Raw genomic sequence first — 19,421 nt, 5'->3', positions numbered from 1 at the left:
GGTGGGAGTCACCTGTGCCTATATGGAGCTTTGATGTCAATGCCCTTGTCATTTGGTGTCAATGGTTTTGTCATTCTAATTTATTTGGCCCCAAGGTGTGTGTGTGTGTGTGTGTGTGTGTGTGTGTGTGTGTGTGTGTGTTTGAAACACAGCATATGTATTTTTTTCTTACTCCTTGAGAAATAGAACTTTAAATAACATTTCTATCTTTAAAATGTACTTGTGAATAGTTATCACTTTCCTGAATTCTACCTTCCAAAGGTAGGACAAGAGAAGGATGGAATTAAATCACACATGCAGCTATTTTTATAACTTATGAGCACTCAATGATGGTAGCATCCCTCTTCTTTACCTTCTCTCTGATTCTGAAGCCACTGCTGTTTTGGTTCCTGTATGGCTGGGACTGCCTGTCCACTAGACTTCCTGCCTTCACTCTGACCCTGCTACATTTACCCTGAACACCATCCTCCCAATAATCATTACCAGATGCTATTTTCACAATGTTACACCTTTACACAAGAAGCTACAGTGGAATATTATCCTTACAGAATCAGATAAAAATCTCCAGGCGGCATTCTAAGCTCTCATTGGCTACACTGTACCCTTTGAACCTGAACTTCCTGAGAACTACCTCTTAGCTCCTGCCTGTAGCTCTGGCTCCCATCTTCATGCAGTAGGTATTCGTTTTCTTTTGAACGGCCTCATATCTTCTCTGCTAGCAGGATTGGAGTCATGGCAGAAAGTGAGAGGGGGACTAGAAGGATGCAACATTAATGAAACCTCACAATAGGTTAGGCATTGGGTTAGGTACTTGGTTGATCTACTCACATCATCTCATCTAATCTTTGCCAAAACCTTAAAAGGTAGGTATTATCGGCCCTACTTATAGACATACAATAGGTACTTAATGCACATTTTTGTGATGAATAAATATTCGGGAATTTTTGCATTGTGACTGGATGAGAAGAAACTAGGAAAAACAAGACGTAGATGAGAAAGATACCTCTCATCTTACTTCCAACCTAGGAGATCTTAAATGAACTCATCAGTTTTAAAAGGTAATCTTAAGAATGGAGTCAGAGGGTCACACAAGGAGAGAAAGCATCACGTATTACCAGAGTTCGGGATTGCTTAAGGCGGTTTGACAGTTTCCTCCGGGGGTAATCCACCCTAGGCCAGGCATTTTTAAAGATTAGATTTTGAAATGAAGCTTTGCACTTGGGAATATACTGAGGCAAGAAAGCATATCCCTTCTCCCTGCTGAGAGAGCATATCCCTTCTCTCTGCTGTTGCAGTGCTTAAGTGTGAGAATTTTCGAATGAGATATGAAAGCAAAGACAACAAACCCTGCAGGATAATAGTCTCTGAGGACTTTAATAACAGCCGTTTTTAAAGCAAAGCCTGTGGACTCCTAAATCCATAGCTGCTCGTTTAAGATGCAACGCAATGCAGTGGACCTGAAAACATACTCCTTATCTACCTAGAGCAACCAGGCTCCAAGCCAAACAGCAGTCCTCAAATTAACTCTTGTTTCTCTTGGGACGACAACTCTGCTGCTTTTAAAGGTGTTGCGTGGCCACATATAGAATAAGAAGGGAAAAAACAGTCACACCCTCTTGTGAGTCTGTATCCAACTGCATTTTCTGATCTGGTTAGGAACCTCCGGTGGTTAGATTAGAATCCTGATAAGGCCAAGACTGTGGGTCCAATTTCTTCCTATGGATTCTTCTCGAAAAACTTGTTAGGAAAGATCCACTTCGGGTTTTTTTTTTTTTTTTTTTGCGCTTGTTTTAATTCCCAATCCATAATAGACTGATACTTTTGTAACATGCAATAAAAATGAATTATTTTAAAAATTACAAATACCAGACATACAAAATTTAAGCCGATGCTTTTTATTTTTAGATTGCTGTACACGTTTCTAAAGATTTGCTTTCAATTTCTGTTCTTATGTCTTCATAATAGAATATCTGTTTCTGTGTGTGTATACGTATGAGTGTATGCAAGTGTGCTCCAAAAGCTCTACTATTTAGAGCTCATGTTTAATGAGTCATGTTGGATAACCAGTCTAAGGGAGTTCTACTTTCATATAATTGTTTTTGTTTTATTTTTATTTAAATCATTAACACCTTTTCAAAACAACTGTATCAAATAACAGTCATTTGGTCATTTGAAGCATTTACATACACTGCTTTCTTCTTAAACAGATTTTACTGAATGTAAATCTGCTTTCCCTGGCTAATTCAGCATCATCATCCTGAGCATTAACTATTTTGCTTCGCTATAAAACGAGGTGATGCCTTCAAGGGCTACTGATGCATGGAGAGCTGTTAGTTTCCACACTGTGTGACCCTGGTCAATTATGCATGCCCATGGCTCCTTTTACACCTTTCTGATTCTCTGTAAGGTGTCACTTCTTCCTACTCTCAATTTAGCCACTTAGGATAATTTCTTTACTATTTTGAATTGTATGTTCCTGACCTTCTAAGTTCTTAGAAATCAGACCACTTTTTTTCCCATCAAGCTAATTTAAATTAGATAAAAATTATCAGTAAGGAGGAACTAATGGCCTTATAATTATTCATATACTAACTGCTTTCAGAAAAGCTTAGAGATAATCTGTCTATAATAAAATTCTTAAGGAGATTTGGTCACTTATTGTTATTCTTTCTACACCATTGTGTTTGTTTCCTTACTTCTCAGCTATATTAAAATGGGGAAGTTTTCATTTGCTGAGTCCTATTTTAGAGACCAATAATTCCATTTACATAGGAAAGGAAATATGTGGATACGATTATTCATGATGTTCTAGAATAGTATCACAACCATCTGCTTAATGGTTAATAAAATGGTTAATAATAAAAAGAAGGGTACAGCACTAATTCTTGACATCTCCCTTCTTTATTTTTCTTCTAGTAAAACATCCATAACTTTTCCTATTCTTCCCCAGTTGTATTATTACTTATGAACACCATGGATCATTCTACTTTTTGAATGAAATAGTACAAATTTAATATTCGATAATCTTGTCTTTGTACTTTTCTTTCTAAACTTTTATTCTCGGTGGCTTCCTAAAGGAAGACTTTATTCTACTTGGTTTAAGCAGTTGGTCTGCATTCTACCTATTTCTCTCAACTCTCATTGTCCATTCCAATCAGGTTGTGCAATTCATTGTCCCTGCTCATAAACCAAATTCATTTCACCTTTACTCCATTCCCATGCTATTCTTTTTACCTGGAATATTTTCTTTTGTTCCAATTTCCCAATCGTATACATCCCTCAAGGCTCAAGCCAAGTCCTGTAACTTCATGAAATCTATTTCTAACATCTGATTTCCACATGGATTATCTTGTAATAGTAAGCCCTGCATTTGCTATTATTTATTAAAGATCTCTTGTGTTCTAGACGCTATTCAAAGTATTTTACAAAAATTCCATGTAATATTCAAAAAATTCAGCAGGTATGTATTATTATTTCATGTTTAGTGAAACCAAAGTAATGAAAGAGTTTTCATCATTATGTGGCTAATAAGGGAAAGAGAAGAGAAGGGTCAAACCTATGTCTATTTAACTGCACTTTGCCATGAGTTTTCTCTGGAAGCTGAGAAAGGAGATTCACAACAAGAGTAGATGAGACTCAGATAAGAAGGAAGTGTGGAATTTGAAAAAGCCCTTCAGAAAACAGGATCTCCCCTACTCCTAAAACTGCTATACTGTGAACATATTGCTTGTCTCATAACTGAACTTTTTTGGTACTCTCAGCTGAAATTTGCTCTATAATTGTACAGAACTTTAGGCCAAATGTTTCTTTTATGGGGACACACATTATTTGTTTCGTTTGCACCCATTTTCTCAATTACTTTGTGTTTTCTCTTGTTGTATTGGATGCATCTCTATCCACTGCTACAAATCTGTTTAATAGTCTTTATATTAATAAGACCATGAAATTGCTCTTTGTGTGCTGACATAGTTATCCTTTATTTTCTAATGGCAGTGCTAGATTTGCTAAAATTTAGGTAGTAGCATTATTAATAGGAAAAACTACCACCAACAACTAAACTTGAAAGGTAATATAGCCTAGTGGCTAAGAGCACAATCCCTGAAGTCTGACTGACGAGGTTCTAAATCTTGCTGCATTTATTAGCTGTGTGAACCTGGGCATTTTTAGTTAACCTTACAGTAGTTTCATTATCTTATATGGAAAATGAAGATAATAGTAGCCCCTACCCTAGAGGGTTGTTGAGAGGAGAAAATGAGCTCATGTATATACAGTGCTTTGGACAGCACCTGATGTACAGTAAGGTTCATGTATGTTGTTGTTCTTGCTGCTGCTGCTGCTGCTATGGTTTTTGTTATGTAACAACTACCTTTTCCCCTTTGTTCATTCGTTATTGCTTTTCCTAAAGACTACAATCACAAAAAAGAAGAAAAAAATTAGAGAGCATACAGTGAATGCAGTAATGAAGGCTTGAATGATCTTTTCTAGTTAAGTCAGAAGTGAAATAAAACTATCCAAAAATTTCTATGAAAATTATCCTTTGTCCAGATTGGCTACCCACTGAGAACTCCACTTGATTCTCCATATCAATCTTTTGCTCTTTTGTGCTACCTGAGTCTGAGGTGTAGTCTTTAAATGATGAGTTTATTGGCACAAGACAGGGATGCCCTCTCTCACCACTCCTATTCAACATAGTGTTGGAAGTTCTGGCCAGGGCAATCAGGCAGGAGAAGGAAATAAAGGGTATTCAATTAGGAAAAGAGGAAGTCAAATTGTCCCTGTTTGCAGACGACATGATTGTATATCTAGAAAACCCCATCGTCTCAGCCCAAAATCTCCTTAAGCTGATAAGCAACTTCAGCAAAGTCTCAGGATACAAAATCAATGTACAAAAATCACAAGCATTCTTATACACCAACAACAGACAAACAGAGAGCCAAATCATGAGTGAACTCCCATTCACAATTGCTTCAAAGAGAATAAAATACCTAGGAATGCAACTTACAAGGGATGTGAAGGACCTCTTCAAGGAGAACTACAAACCACTGCTCAAGGAAATAAAAGAGGACACAAACAAATGGAAGAACATTCCATGCTCATGGGTAGGAAGAATCAATATTGTGAAAATGGCCATACTGCCCAAGGTGATTTACAGATTCAATGCCATCCCCATCAAGCTACCAATGCCTTTCTTCACAGAATTGGAAAAAACTACTTTAAAGTTCATATGGAACCAAAAAAGAGCCCACATCGCCAAGTCAATCCTGAGCCAAAAGAACAAAGCTGGAGGCATCACACTAGCTGACTTCAAACTATACTACAAGGCTACAGTAACCAAAACAACATGGTACTGGTACCAAAACAGAGATATAGATCAGTGGAACAGAACAGAGCCCTCAGAAATAATGCCGCATATCTACAACTATCTGATCTTTAACAAACCTGAGAAAAACAAGCAATGGGGAAAGGATTCCCTATTTAATAAATGGTGCTGGGAAAACTGGCTAGCCATATGTAGAAAGCTGAAACTGGATCCCTTCCTTACACCTTATACAAAAATCAATTCAAGATGGATTAAAGACTTAAACGTTAGACCTAAAACCATAAAAACCCTAGAAGAAAACCTAGGCATTACCATTCAGGACATAGGCATGGGCAAGGACTTCATGTCTAAAACACCAAAAGCAATGGCAACAAAAGCCAGAATTGACAAATGGGATCTAATTAAACTAAAGAGCTTCTGCACAGCAAAAGAAACTACCATCAGAGTGAACAGGCAACCTACAACATGGGAGAAAATTTTCGCAACCTACTCATCTGACAAAGGGCTAATATCCAGAATCTACAATGAACTCAAACAAATGTACAAGAAAAAAACAAACAACCCCATCAAAAAGTGGGTGAAGGACATGAACAGACACTTCTCAAAAGAAGACATTTATGCAGCCAAAAGACACATGAAAAAATGCTCACCATCACTGGCCATCAGAGAAATGCAAATCAAAACCACAATGAGATACCATCTCACACCAGTTAGAATGGCAATCATTTAAAAGTCAGGAAACAACAGGTGCTGGAGAGGATGTGGAGAAATAGGAACACTTCTACACTGTTGGTGGGACTGTAAACTAGTTCAACCATTGTGGAAGTCAGTGTGGCGATTCCTCAGGGATCTAGAACTAGAAATACCATTTGACCCAGCCATCCCATTACTGGGTATATACCCAAAGGACTATAAATCATGCTGCTATAAAGACACATGCACACGTATGTTTATTGCGGCACTATTCACAATAGCAAAGACTTGGAACCAACCCAAATGTCCAACAGTGATAGACTGGATTAAGAAAATGTGGCACATATACACCATGGAATACTATGCAGCCATAAAAAAAGGATGAGTTCACATCCTTTGTAGGGACATGGATGAAATTGGAAATCATTATTCTCAGTAAACTATCACAAGAACAGAACACCAAACACCGCATATTCTCACTCATAGGTGGGAATTGAACAATGAGAACACATGGACACAGGAAGGGGAACATCACACTCTGGGGACTGTTGTGGGGTGGGGGGAGGGGGGAGGGATAGCATTGGGAGATATACCTAATGCTAGATGATGAGTTAGTGGGTGCAGCGCACCAGCATGGCACATGTATACATATGTAACTAACCTGCACGTTGTGCACATGTACCCTAAAATTTAAAGTATAATAATAATAATAAATAAATAAATAAATAAATAAAAAATGATGAGTTTAGACAAATATCATTATGGTAGTATTATATTATGTTATGTTATATTATATTATATTATATTATGTATAATGTATATTCCTTGCAGCCTGCCCTGCATTCCCAATCTATGACTCATGCTGCCTTATTGATACTGAAAAATCTCCACTACAGCATGCCAGCTTTTGAAAGAGAGCCTTGGGTTCTTTCCCAATACTTACCTTCCTTTTAGGGCAACCTATCTGAGTCCTGTAGCTTGAAAGATTTCCTACCAGCCTGCCATCCCAAAGGAACATGGATGAACTATGTTTATGCTGATGTGTCAAGTCATTTCTTGGTATGGTTCATAGTAGTCCACATGGCTCTTGTAGACAAAGAGATGAATTACTGATGGCAGAATTTCTGTTCTGGCAACAGGGAAATTTGCAGAAAGGAGACCTTTTCAGTGTGAACATTTTTTGCTCACAGGTGGTCCAGGATGCCCAATGCTAAATGAGAAGTGAAAAGAGCAATCAGGGCCAGGTGTGGTGGCTCACGCCTGTAATCCAAGCACTTTGGGAGGCCAAGGTGGGCGGATCACGAGGTCAGGAGATCGAGACCATCCTGGCTAACATGGTGAAACCCTGTTTCTACTAAAAATACAAAAAAAATTAGCCAGGCGTGGTGGCGGGCGCCTATAGTCCCAGCTACTTGGGAGGCTGAGGCAGGAGAATGGCGTGAACCTGGGAGGCGGAGCTTGCAGTGAGCCAAGATCGCGCCACTGTGCTCCAGCCTGGGTGACAGAGCGAGACTCTGTCTCAAAAAAAAAAAAAAAAAAAGAGCAGTCAGAATTCAATTTTTCATTCAGAACAAATCAATCCACGTGGGTAAACATTTTATCAAACTCAAGAATGCTGTCTTTCAGGGTGCTTTTCCCTCAACAGTCACTTATTTCCTCTTGCAAGTAGTATCTTCGTTCAGGTTCAGTGACTACTGTGTATTATATCCAATGCTTCTGGCAAGTGGGTTGGTGGAGGCAGCCCAAGATCTTCTAGAATCAAGAGAATTGGATCCATTTCCCAGTTCTAACACTTATCAGCTATATGGCTTTTAGGCAAGTCAGTTAAACATCCGAGTCTCAGTGCTCTCATCTGCAAAACAGAAAATGTGATGTACTTCACAGAGCCAGGGGGAGGAATAACTAAGGTGGTACATTTGTACGTGCTTTGTAACCTGTAAAGCCCTTTACTGTACACGTGTCATTTACAGCTCTGTATCACCATCATGACCTAGAAAAGCAGTACTGACAGAAGACTTATCTTCTTGCCAATGCTAAGATAACTTTAGCCATTTCTGCATTTCTAAAGGAAGGAGTCTTTATCCCAGTATCTATGAAGACTTGGCAGGAATTGCCGTCAATATTTAGTTGGTAATATAAACGAATTAAACAAAAATGCACACTAGGTTTTAGGAAAATTAAAGACAGAACTATCATTTGTACTCCTCTTACATTTCCCAAAGTGCTAAAACTAGACAATAAATCAGTCCTCAATAAATGCTTGTTTATCAATTTTATATTCATTTATTTGTTGATAATACAACAAAGATGTTTATATGCAGTATAATATATATGGCAAAGATGAAAAGTAGCAAATTCATGAATCAACATCCTATTTATGCTTGAGAAGACAAAGAAAGTGTTGGTGACTTCATGGTATACATAACCTTAAGGAGCTCGTGATTGAGCCTGGGTCTCTGCTATCAATGTAGGATATAAATTTCAAATGTACTATCCTTTATATGTATGTTAATGTAGTAAACATAGAAAACTGATGCTACTAGTGAGAATACTTTTACTTGAACAACTAAAAGTTTGTCTTTAATCCCCTAAGTGCATACACAAAAGGAAAGTACTGTACAAATCAAGTACAACAGAAGAAGTAAAGTAAAAGACAAGTGAAGGAATTATCTGGAACTTAGATCTGGTTGGCTTTTTCTCCTGAAGTACTTAGATAAATTAACTCACTTTTCTCTTTTGCTGAAGAAGTGCAAATTAGGCAGGCATGTTATTCCACGTAGGCAAAAGGAAAAAAGAAAGAAAAACATAAAATGGCTATATATTTGACCAAACTTCGTTCTGCAAGAATCCCAATACTAACCTTCTACCATATAAACTACTTTCAAAATCAGGCTATATCCTTCCAGTACAAACCTGGTTTGTACTACTCAGAGATACTACTCAGAAATACTTTCAGTATTTCCCTTCTTTCAACTTCTGATGTGATTCTATCCATATTCCCCTGCCTGTCTCCCAGTCAAAGAGAATGGGACACAACTCTCTTTAGAGTCCATCAGTGATGCTTTAGCTGCCAAAAATAGTGACAATAGACATTCATTGTCTGTCTACCTTACTTGTTCAACATTCAGAATTCTGCATCTTAAGAGGCTGTGGCTGAAAACTTGAGCCAGTTCTTCAGAATTTCTAACATGTTATTTCTGCCACTTTTTCTCCCTTACTTTAGCAGAGTAATTTAATTCAATTTGAGAGAGAGAGAGAAAAAAAAAACTTTTCTAGTTACACAGATCAATCCAATTGTTTGGAGCTTCAGAATGAATTTTTAAACTTGTTGAACAGAAGCATACAAATCTCTAAGAGCAAGTCAGATAATATACAAAGCCTCCATTCATTGTGTAGGCAGAAAGGAATGCTGGTACCCGGCAGCTCTCTGAGGAATGTTCCCTTGGCTTTGACTATTCTGCTGGGAACAAGGAAGGAAACACATATATAAAATGAATTTATAATGTCTCTGGCTTGTAATGGCAGAATGATAAGAAAAGTTGGCTGTTTAATATAAACTGTCAGTTGCATATTCCAGGCCTCCTCTCTTTGAGGTTCCTCCCACATCCACACGCCTGGCTACTGTTTAGTGCGGAGTACAAAGTGGCCGTTTATTATTATTGACTGGTGAGGCCTGTGCTCCAAAATTCATTCTGTCAACAGAATGTAAGCAAAGTTGGCATTTTAAAGCAGGGCTCTTTCAGTTTCTGGGTTTTCTCAGGATTGCTATGCAACAGGATCAGTGCTGTAGTGCCCGGTTCAAGCTGAAAATGTTACACAGGAAGACATACCATGTAAAGGTCAGATTCTTCTACTATAATAATTTTCTTGATCTGTGTGTATACAAGTGAAGTTGAATGCATAACCTCTTATCATAACTCTTACCAAGGTCCTATGTACTTTCCACCTGTCAAGCCTAAAAATGTGTATTAAATGGGAAATCAAAACTAATAAATGTATGATGCTGTACTATATGTATGATGCTATAATACCAAGGTGAACTTAATTTGTGTTGTCAAGAAGATTTTCTCTCCCATGACAGACTCCCAGGAATGTGCTGGTGCTGTGGGCCAAGTGCAATCTTGTTTATTAGTCTCTCCACGCTTTTATGGTCAGAGTTAACTCTACAGATTACTACGTAAATAGAAAATATGACTTGATCCATATAGTAATGAAATTATTGGCACTGGGGTACACTTTATCATAGAATTTTATTGCCTATCACTTCCATAAAATAATACATTTTGTCCATAGACTAGAAGATATAACTTGTGAACTTTATAAAGTTATAAATACATTACTTTCCAACTCATAATGGCAAGGAATAAATCTATTACAACTAATAAGATGCCCATTTTAAATCTACATAATAACAGGAGAAGGCAATACGCCAAGAAAAGGGATTTGAGATGTATCTTCTTGTTAGTTTAGCCTGATTGAAATGTCTTTTGAACTAATAATTATTTATATTTTGCAATTCTCCAAATTCACATTCATCGCTTGTTTCTTTTGTTTGGTAATTCTGCACATATTCTTCTTCCTGCTGTCCTGTAGGACCTCCAAGGTGAAATTGAAGCTCACACAGATGTTTATCACAACCTGGATGAAAACAGCCAAAAAATCCTGAGATCCCTGGAAGGTTCCGATGATGCAGTCCTGTTACAAAGACGTTTGGATAACATGAACTTCAAGTGGAGTGAACTTCGGAAAAAGTCTCTCAACATTAGGTAGGAAAAGATGTGGAGCAAAAAGGCCACAAATGAATTAAAATGGCCAAATTTTCCTCATTGTCTTAGCACAAGTAACTGGTATCTCACATGTCTACGTAAATCATCCAATTTCAGAATGATTCACTGTATTTTGAATAAATGAATCATTTATTTGCTTGGTATGGAGATGATACTTGAGGATTCAGATTAGATTAAAGTGGTAATGTTTTATAAACATAGGAGACATGCATATTAAGACATCAGAGTGAATTTAAATGAGGAGTGCAGCTATTCTAGTTTCATAAATTTCTCTCTTGGCATATCACAGGGTTATACAAAAAGTGATAAAAAATTAACGGATATGTATTATGGAATTATTTTTGGCATTAGTCTAAATGCATACCAGAGGACAGTCTTTAAAACCCTTTATAACACATTACAATTATATAATATAAAACCTGTAACACATTATAATTAACAGTTTAGAGGAGATAGCTCCTACAGTTAAAGAGAGACTATAGCAACTTCCTGTCTTTTGCTTCCTCTCAGATTTTGTTAAAACACATCCTCTGTAAACTAAGCTTTTAGTTGTAGTATACTCACATACTTTATATTTTGCCCCCTTCTATGTGCCAGCTTTCTTTGGAGAAGTTAGTTAATGGATGCATCATAGCATCTTTGTAAAAAGGGCAGAGGGAAGTTCTTGTTATACCAGTTTTGCAATAGTTCCGTGGAGGAACAAAAGGATAGAGATAGTAAGTAAAACGCCCATTGTAACTTAAATGATCTAGCAAGGGCGGGGAATGAAAGCCAGGCTTCCTGCTTTCTAAGCAGTTGCCTTTCTTAATTCATTTCTCTTTATTAAAAATATTTTGTGCTTTCTTCTGTGTCTAGAGAAAAAGTGATAATGAAGGGAGGTAGAAGATGACCAAATGGACTTAATAATAGTTATGGGAGTATACACTAAATGACGGGAGTAGTTACTACCTCTAGGTAGAAAGATTACAGAAGGGAGATTTTTTTTCTTCTTTATAGTTCTTCTAACTTGTCCAAAATTTTAACATATATACTTCTATAAGGAGGAAAATCTGCATTTTTAGTAATTCAGAAGCACTATTGTAAATGTCTGCATCAAGTATGAAATAATGATAGCAACTAATATTTACATGATGTACCTACATACCACGCAATGCCATAAGCACTTTCCATTCATTGACCGGTTTAATGCTCTCAGCAACCCTAAGAGGTAGATTTTATTATTGAATTCTTTTTACATTTGAAGAAAGTGAGGCACAGAGAGGCTAAATAATTTCCTTAGGGTCACTTAGCAAGTGGAAGATACAAGATGAAAACAGGGAGTCTGGGTGGGCCAGGCGTAGTGGCTCACGCCTGTAATCCCAGCACTTTGGGAGGCCGAGGCAGGTGGATCACGAGGTCAAGAGATCGAGACCATCCTGGCCAACATGGTGAAATCCCGTCTCTACCAAAAATACAAAAATTAGCTGGGCATGGTGGCACGCGCCTGTAGTCCCAGCTACTCAGGAGGCTGAGGCAGGAGAATCGCTTGAACCCGGGAGGTGGAGGTTGCAGTGAGCCGAGATCGCACCACTTCACTCCAGCCTAGGGGACAGAGTGAGACTCTGTCTCAAAAGAAAAAAGAAAAAAGTAAAAGAAAAAGAAATCAGGGAGTCTGACTTCAGAGTCTGAACTTTTAACCACCATATGATACCGTAGCATATAAAGAAAGAAGGAAACTTCTACAAAGAAATGCATACTAATTGAAAGGATGAAATAGAGAGTAGATTTTTTCTAGGAGTAGAAAAGGATTTGTTTTTATGAGAAGTAGATTGCTAGGAGTAGAACAGGTTTATTTTTATGTATAAGGTTTTGTTTTGTTTTGTTTTTCACAAGTTTGCACCCTGGCTTCCCAGACATTGTTCCTTATCTCCCTATTTTGTATATGAATTTTGTGTCAACTTGGTGGTGGTACACTGGGAGCAACAATGGCAATAGCATTTTCAAAGATAGGGAGGCTCTATTAGCTTTCTACAGCTTAAACTCTTAAGAGAGGTCAGTATGTGTGATGACGTAGGCCACTTTGATAACCTTCGTCATTAAAAAAGAATGAAAATGTGAGATGGAAAAAATATTGGCAGGTCAAGTTAAGTTATTCTTTTCTGCACAAAAGAAAAAGAAAGATGCTATAATTGTTCCGAGTATCACTTAGTGCCTTTTCTCTGCCTCATGTGAACTTGATAAAATAAAAGGAGAATTGAAAGTGGCAAATAGCATGTCAGCCAAAATATGGACTCTTCATTCTCAGCAGTTTCCCATGTCAGCTACCGCAGTTTGATTCTTGCTGTCATTAATCAGGTAGAAAACAGTTAGCTTATCTAAGGTGCTGCCAATTCTAGAATTTAAATATTCAGATCAATGGTTTTGGCTTTTATATAGGCCTATGTAATAATACAGGATATGTTATAAGCACTCATAAAAAGCAAAGAAGTAATTCTCCACATCAAAGCAATTTAGCTTATTTCCTGACACTTGATTGAAATTAGGGTATTGATCAATCTACAGCAAATGGCAGGGTTCAATTGAGAGAAGTACAGTATAGGCAGTAATTAGGGATGATTATGAAATAGAATAGAATAACACTGGAAGAGTTAGATATAGAACCATTAGTGGCACTGATAAACCTGCATTATGAATCTTGTCACTTCTTCCATGGGGGTTATTTTAAAATGAAAAGTTGCCACAATTAAAAAATAGTTTCAATGATATACTGGAAAAATAGGCCTGTGTTTGCCCAAGTTATAACATATTATAAAAAATTACAGTTGGCCCATTGTTTGGTGAGCGATTCTGAAACTGCTCTTATATTTCAAAAAAATAAAACCATTAATGTGTCCATTTTTAAAGAAACAAAATTGAATTTAAATCCAAATGATTTCGAAGTTTCCCTTTGTATTCCATTGGCTCATAAGAGATATCCTTGTGCTTCCAAATACAAGTCCATATTGTATCGTTTTCCTTCCATTTATTTTTCTTCTGCCATACATCTTTTCTCTTCCTGTGATTAAGATTCTTATTTAAGTCATCATGTTATGCCATATTGATACATTTGCAAGAATACTCTACCTTGGACGCTGTTTATATCATATTACTCTTTTGTTCAAAGCTTCAATCTTGTAGGTCTCCATATCTCCCTCATTCATTTATTTGTTCATTCAACAAATATTTAATGAATGCCTACTATGTACTAGGCACTCTTCTGGGCACGGAGGATGCAACCATGAATAAAACATACCAAAAAAAATCACTGCTCTAATGAAGTTATATTTAATCATTAGAATCTAGTAGAACCTTCTCTCTCTGCCAACTGTGCCTAATAAGTCCTTGCTAACTCCTTCCCTTCTCTTTTCTTTTTCTGCCTCCAGTTCCTTTCTCACCAAGCATCATTCTGTTACTCCCCAACATAGATTCTCTGAGCCAAGAGAATCAATAAATTCTATTTTCTAACCCCATTCCTACTCTCCAACAATTTCCTCACTCTCCCATATGAGTATGTACCCTTGCTGGTTCTCACACTTGCAACATTCTCTTTCCTCTTATTCTCCAAATTTTGATTCATATTCCATAACAAATCTTTTCTTTTCTGGCTGTTTCCTCACTAGGTCTTCCCAATACTATTCTAATTTACACTTGATAACATGTTTCTTCAAGTGTTCAAGAGTTGCTTTATAGGGCTATGCTTACTGCCTCCAGCTAACTTATATGAATACAAAAATTTCAAACTCGAAATATGTGAGTATGGTAGAGTAGAAAGACATGGGCCAGCAGCTGGGCAACCCAGTTTCCCTTCTGTTCTATTCTGTCACTAACTGTCTTAGCATATAATCTTGATCAAGTCACTTAACTGCTTCAGACTTCAATTTTCTCCTTCACTGAAATGAAGAGTTTGACCAGAAATATGGACAGTCTCTTCCAGTTCTCTTGCAATCGTACAATTTTATTCTTTTAGTTCTGCAATCACACTTTATGAACCTGGAAAATTGTTTAATTTTTCTACCTTGGTTTTCTTAATTAAAATAGAACTGATTGATTTAAAAGGCATTATATAAAGTAATTAAGATGTCTTTGAGAGAAAAGAAATTTAATTGAAATTGTATAATCCTATCTCATAATTTAATTCAAGAAAAGTATATGCTATCATTCCACATGCATTATTACATCACATGTTGGCCAAGAGGTATAAGGAAGAAAAGTAAGTAGTCAGTGATAATTTAAGTTCCATCAAACAAAACGAAAACATTAACTGCTTTAAGTGGGAGAAAAAGAGAAAATTATTTACTTAAATGTACACACACATGCATACACACACAGTTACTGATGACGTTATCCAATATTAAGATGGTAATTAGTCAAAGAAAGTGTTTTTCATTCTAAAATTCCATATCCACAATCCTTGCATTTTTAATTTTAGAATATTAATAACTTGAGAAGTGGTCAAGTCAATTGTTTTACATAAGAAATATATATGAAGATTTCAATTTAGTCTACTACTAGATTATTTTTCCAGATCATTGTATATACTATTAACTATGAAAATCACATAATATGTTATCAACATAATTTCAGCAGAATTTACATTATGTGAGATTTTTATATTTGGCAGAAAAATTTGTAAATGTTATATAAAATGTTCACATTTATACAATTGTGAACATTAAGAGGCAAGGACACTGACATTATATAGTCTGTAGAAGCCATAAATCTATTGGGGAGTGCTTGCTATTAGAGGTTAGAATAGTTAGTGTCTTTGTATAATGGAGAACAAAAGAAGGGCAAAAAGAGGTGGGGTCTACCTTTGAGAGAAAACTGCAACTTGGACATTGAATATCTCTGACCTTCTTTCTCTCTCTTTTAGAATGTTAATTATGTTTGGATGTTGGAGTTCAAGACCTGTCTAGAAAAAAAAAATGTTGACTTCTCTTTGGGATTCTCTCTATTTAAAGAGATAGCTCCCATTTTAATTCTGTGGTTCTTTAATTTTTTTTGTTTCTGAAGTACAAATTCAAATTATTCATCTGTTGATGACACCCTGGAGATTTTTCTCAGTGTTCTCTTGTAGTAGTTTCATGGTTTGAGGTCTTACATTTAAGTCTTTAATCTACTTTGATTTGATTTTTGTATATGGTGAGAGATAGGGGTCTAGATTCATTCTGCATATGGATATCCAGTTTTTCCGCACCATTTGTTGAAGAGACTGTCTTTTCCCCACTGTATGTTCTTGGCACCTTTGTCAAAAATGAGTTAACTGTAGGTGTGTGGATTCGTTTTTGGGTTCTCTAGTCTTTTCCATGGGTCTTTGTGTCTGTTTTTATGGCAGTATTGTGGTTCTTTATTATTTCTGCATTCCTCCCTTTTCTTTCTGCATGTTTAAGTGCTATTTTATTACATGAGGGTACTAAAGATTTATAGGGATATATCATTAGTTTTATAAAGGAAGTCAAAGTGAAAAATGAATTCAATATAACACATTTCACTTTAAGAATGCATGCCTTTCAGAGTAAAGTTTTATTAAGGATTTCAAACTAGGCATTAACCAAATCACAGTTGAAATATCTGTGTCTAGAGAAATAACAATCACTTTATCAGCCCCTATAATTCTTAGTGTCCTGACACTGAGGAGTTCCTTAAAGACCAAGCAATATACTCCAGCACATCTAAAGGCTCTGCGTTTTACCTAAACCTTACAAATTGTGGAAATTATCAGCTTTTTAGAGATTAGCACTTGCCTTGTTAAACGGTAGTAACCCCTAAGCTCTTGTCTTCACTAATAAAGATTAATAGACATAGATAGAAGCTAAGCATGCCCCTTTGAACCACCTCTTTTATTTTCCGTTGAGTGGGTAGGAGTAAGCAGAATATATTTGACAATTAGCAATGTTAAAAGACAAACTTTAGACAAATTCCGTTTTGCAGAGTTTATTTGAGCAAAAAACAATTCATGAATCAGACAGTACTCAGAATTAGAAGTTCAGAAAGCTCCACCCAGCAAGGTGGGCAGGCAGTATTTATAGATAGAAAAAGGAAGTGACATACAGAAACAGCTTGACTGGTTACAGCTTAGAATTTGCCTTACTTGGGCATAGTGTAAATAGGCATTTGCCTTATATGGACATGAGCTGATCAGTTTACAGCCTGTGATTAGCTGAAACTTGACTGCTGGGATTGGCTGAGGCTCAGCTATTTGTTACAAGAATGTACTCTTAAGTTGCATATTGCTTACATGCCAAGCTGGGTTGCAGTTTGCTATGTACAGAGTCAGCTTTAGGCCCAATTTAATTTAATTTAACAGCAACAAGCCTTTTTGTTCAGAGATCAAAAACATTTGGTTAAAACCACTAAGGTTTAAGGATTTTCTCATCTAACAAAGGTTTGTAATTTCTATTTCCCATATCTAAATAGGACAGCTCAAGTTATGTTTTTCAGCAGCTGTTTTATACCTTTGCAATCTTGATTTCTACATATGCAAAACAAGAAGGTTGAACTATAATCTCTCAGGTTCCTTCCAACCCCAACAGCCTATGTATGATATAACCAGAAAAAAAAGTCATTACAAATACAAAGAAACATTTTCAGGAGGAGATATTCCACATGCAAACATAGGTTAATCATTTCAAAATATCTGGTATATACACTCATGAAAATAAAAATAGGGCAACTGCTTCCGATAAATGTATTAGAAATGTGACTTGAAAACATTTCACGGGCTTAACATGGTCAAAGAAAATGTTTTGAGCTCACAATGTTCCTTACATTTAGATCTTCAAAATCAAGTCACTGACAAATGCCACCTTTGCCCTGTGGAGACCAAGAAGTAATGTTTGGGGCATATCAGAAATGCTTTAATAAATGCTTTATCAAAGAATGGTTCTGGAGCTTACCTGTGGAATTGTGAAGGTTCTTGTTGAAAGCAGAGATTGTTGATAGAATTATAGAAAGTCTGGAGGTGGCACCTAGCAATCTCAATTTTAAACAAGCTACTCAAATGTTTCTTATACACACTATAGTTTGAGACCCAGAGCTTTAGGTTGAATACATTTGTATATGCTGTTTTAATTCATTCTCTGGCTGCCTTTCACCTCTTCAGTTCTTACTCAGTGTTCTCTGTCCTTTGTAAGTTTTTCGCTTCAGTTTTTGTCCTCCTATCACATTTTTCCTTTCACTCTTGAGCTTTAGGAGAGGAAAAAAATGAAGCAATTTGATATGTAGTTAGGATGATCAAACATTCTGAAATTTTATCTAACTCCACAGCTTAGAAAAAAATTAAAGGAAGTCCCCTTACCCAGATATGTGAGAGCTTTTCGTCTTTTGAGGTTCCAGGTCCGTCTTCTGCTGCTGTATTAGCTCTCTTGACTGTCCTCTGTCCCTGGCTTCTAACAACTTCCCTATTTCATGCTATTAAGTTTCTCTTAGATCCTTTAGAACTGAATTCCCGGCTGGGTGTGGTAGCTTACGCCTCTACTCCCAACACTTTGGGAGGCTGAGGCAGGTGGATCACCTGAGGTCAAGAGTTCAAGACCAGCCTGGCCAGCATGGCGAAACCCCATCTCTACTAAAAATACCAAAAATTAGCTGGGTGTGGTGGTGGGCGCCTGTAATCCCAGCCACTTGGGAGGCTGATGCAGGAGAATTGCTTGAACCCGGGAGGTGGAGGTGCAGTGAGCCAAGATCGTGCCATTGCACTCCAGCCTGGGTGATAGATCAAGACTCTGTCTCACCAAAAAAAAAAAAAAAAAAGAACTGAATTCCCTAGGTCTCAGTTATTTTGCTCTCTCTTAGGGGACCTAAAGGGGTTCATTGACCCACTAATAATGAGTCAGCACCATTTAACCTAGAACTGGAATTTTAGCACTTCCTTACATAAACAAAGCCGCAGCTTGAGGTCTTAACATAGGCAGCCTGCCCTTCACTATATCCTCCTCTAGACCTCTCTGCCACAAGGATATTTTGTTTCCTCTACCAGGCAGACAGAGGCCAAACATTAGTCATCGTTATATTCTCTCTTCCCTTCCTCTCTCCCTACTCCCCAATGTATCCTAGAGACTTAGGGGCAGTCAATAAATATTTATTTAATCAGTGTCTTTTCTACCATTTGCTGCTTTTCCATGTCTGAGCCCTACCTCTCTCCACCTACTTTTCAATATGTCCTGCTTGACAGCCTCTTTTCACTCTCAAAGGGACCAAGCTGTGAATTCCAGACACCCCAAGGAATTCGTTTAACCATTACACATTACATGCTATTAAACAGCTAAAATCTTGCATGGGGAATTGTCGCTTAGGCTTATCATGGAAAAGTGGTAACTGAAAGGATGGTACAGAAACATAAAAGAACTGACCTCTAATTGTATGCAATCTGCATGCACTATTATATTCAATTCATGACATTTATGGTATTTCACGATTCAGTTCTTGGGAAATAATACCCTTAGAGTCTGGAACAATTTAATTTATCTTATTTGATGGAAATGCCTTCATTTTTCCTGGACATATTGTTTATACTGCAATTATAGAAAGAAAATCTTGACAATTTGGAAAAGTAGAAAGATTAAGAAATAAATCACCTGTAAATCTACCTCTGAGGGATAACC

General features: G+C 36.9%; 1 protein-coding gene across 21 annotated transcripts in view; it reads left to right on the top strand.

Moving 5' to 3' along the window:
- The window catches only part of DMD (dystrophin), a 2,220,167-nt gene that overhangs the window by 1,821,329 nt on the left and 379,417 nt on the right, over window positions 1-19,421 (top strand). For 20 of the 21 annotated variants that reach the window (XM_006724469.4, NM_000109.4, XM_011545467.2 and 17 more), the window contains 1 exon segment: window positions 10,607-10,779. In XM_006724469.4, the coding sequence (XP_006724532.1) occupies window positions 10,607-10,779 (173 nt within the window). 21 annotated transcript variants of the gene reach the window in all.

This window comes from Homo sapiens, chromosome X (genome assembly GCF_000001405.40).
Source record: "Homo sapiens chromosome X, GRCh38.p14 Primary Assembly".
Taxonomy (NCBI): Eukaryota; Metazoa; Chordata; class Mammalia; order Primates; family Hominidae; genus Homo; species Homo sapiens.
The sequence above is the reverse complement of the archived record's forward strand: the minus strand, read 5'-3'. Positions and strand labels throughout refer to the sequence as shown.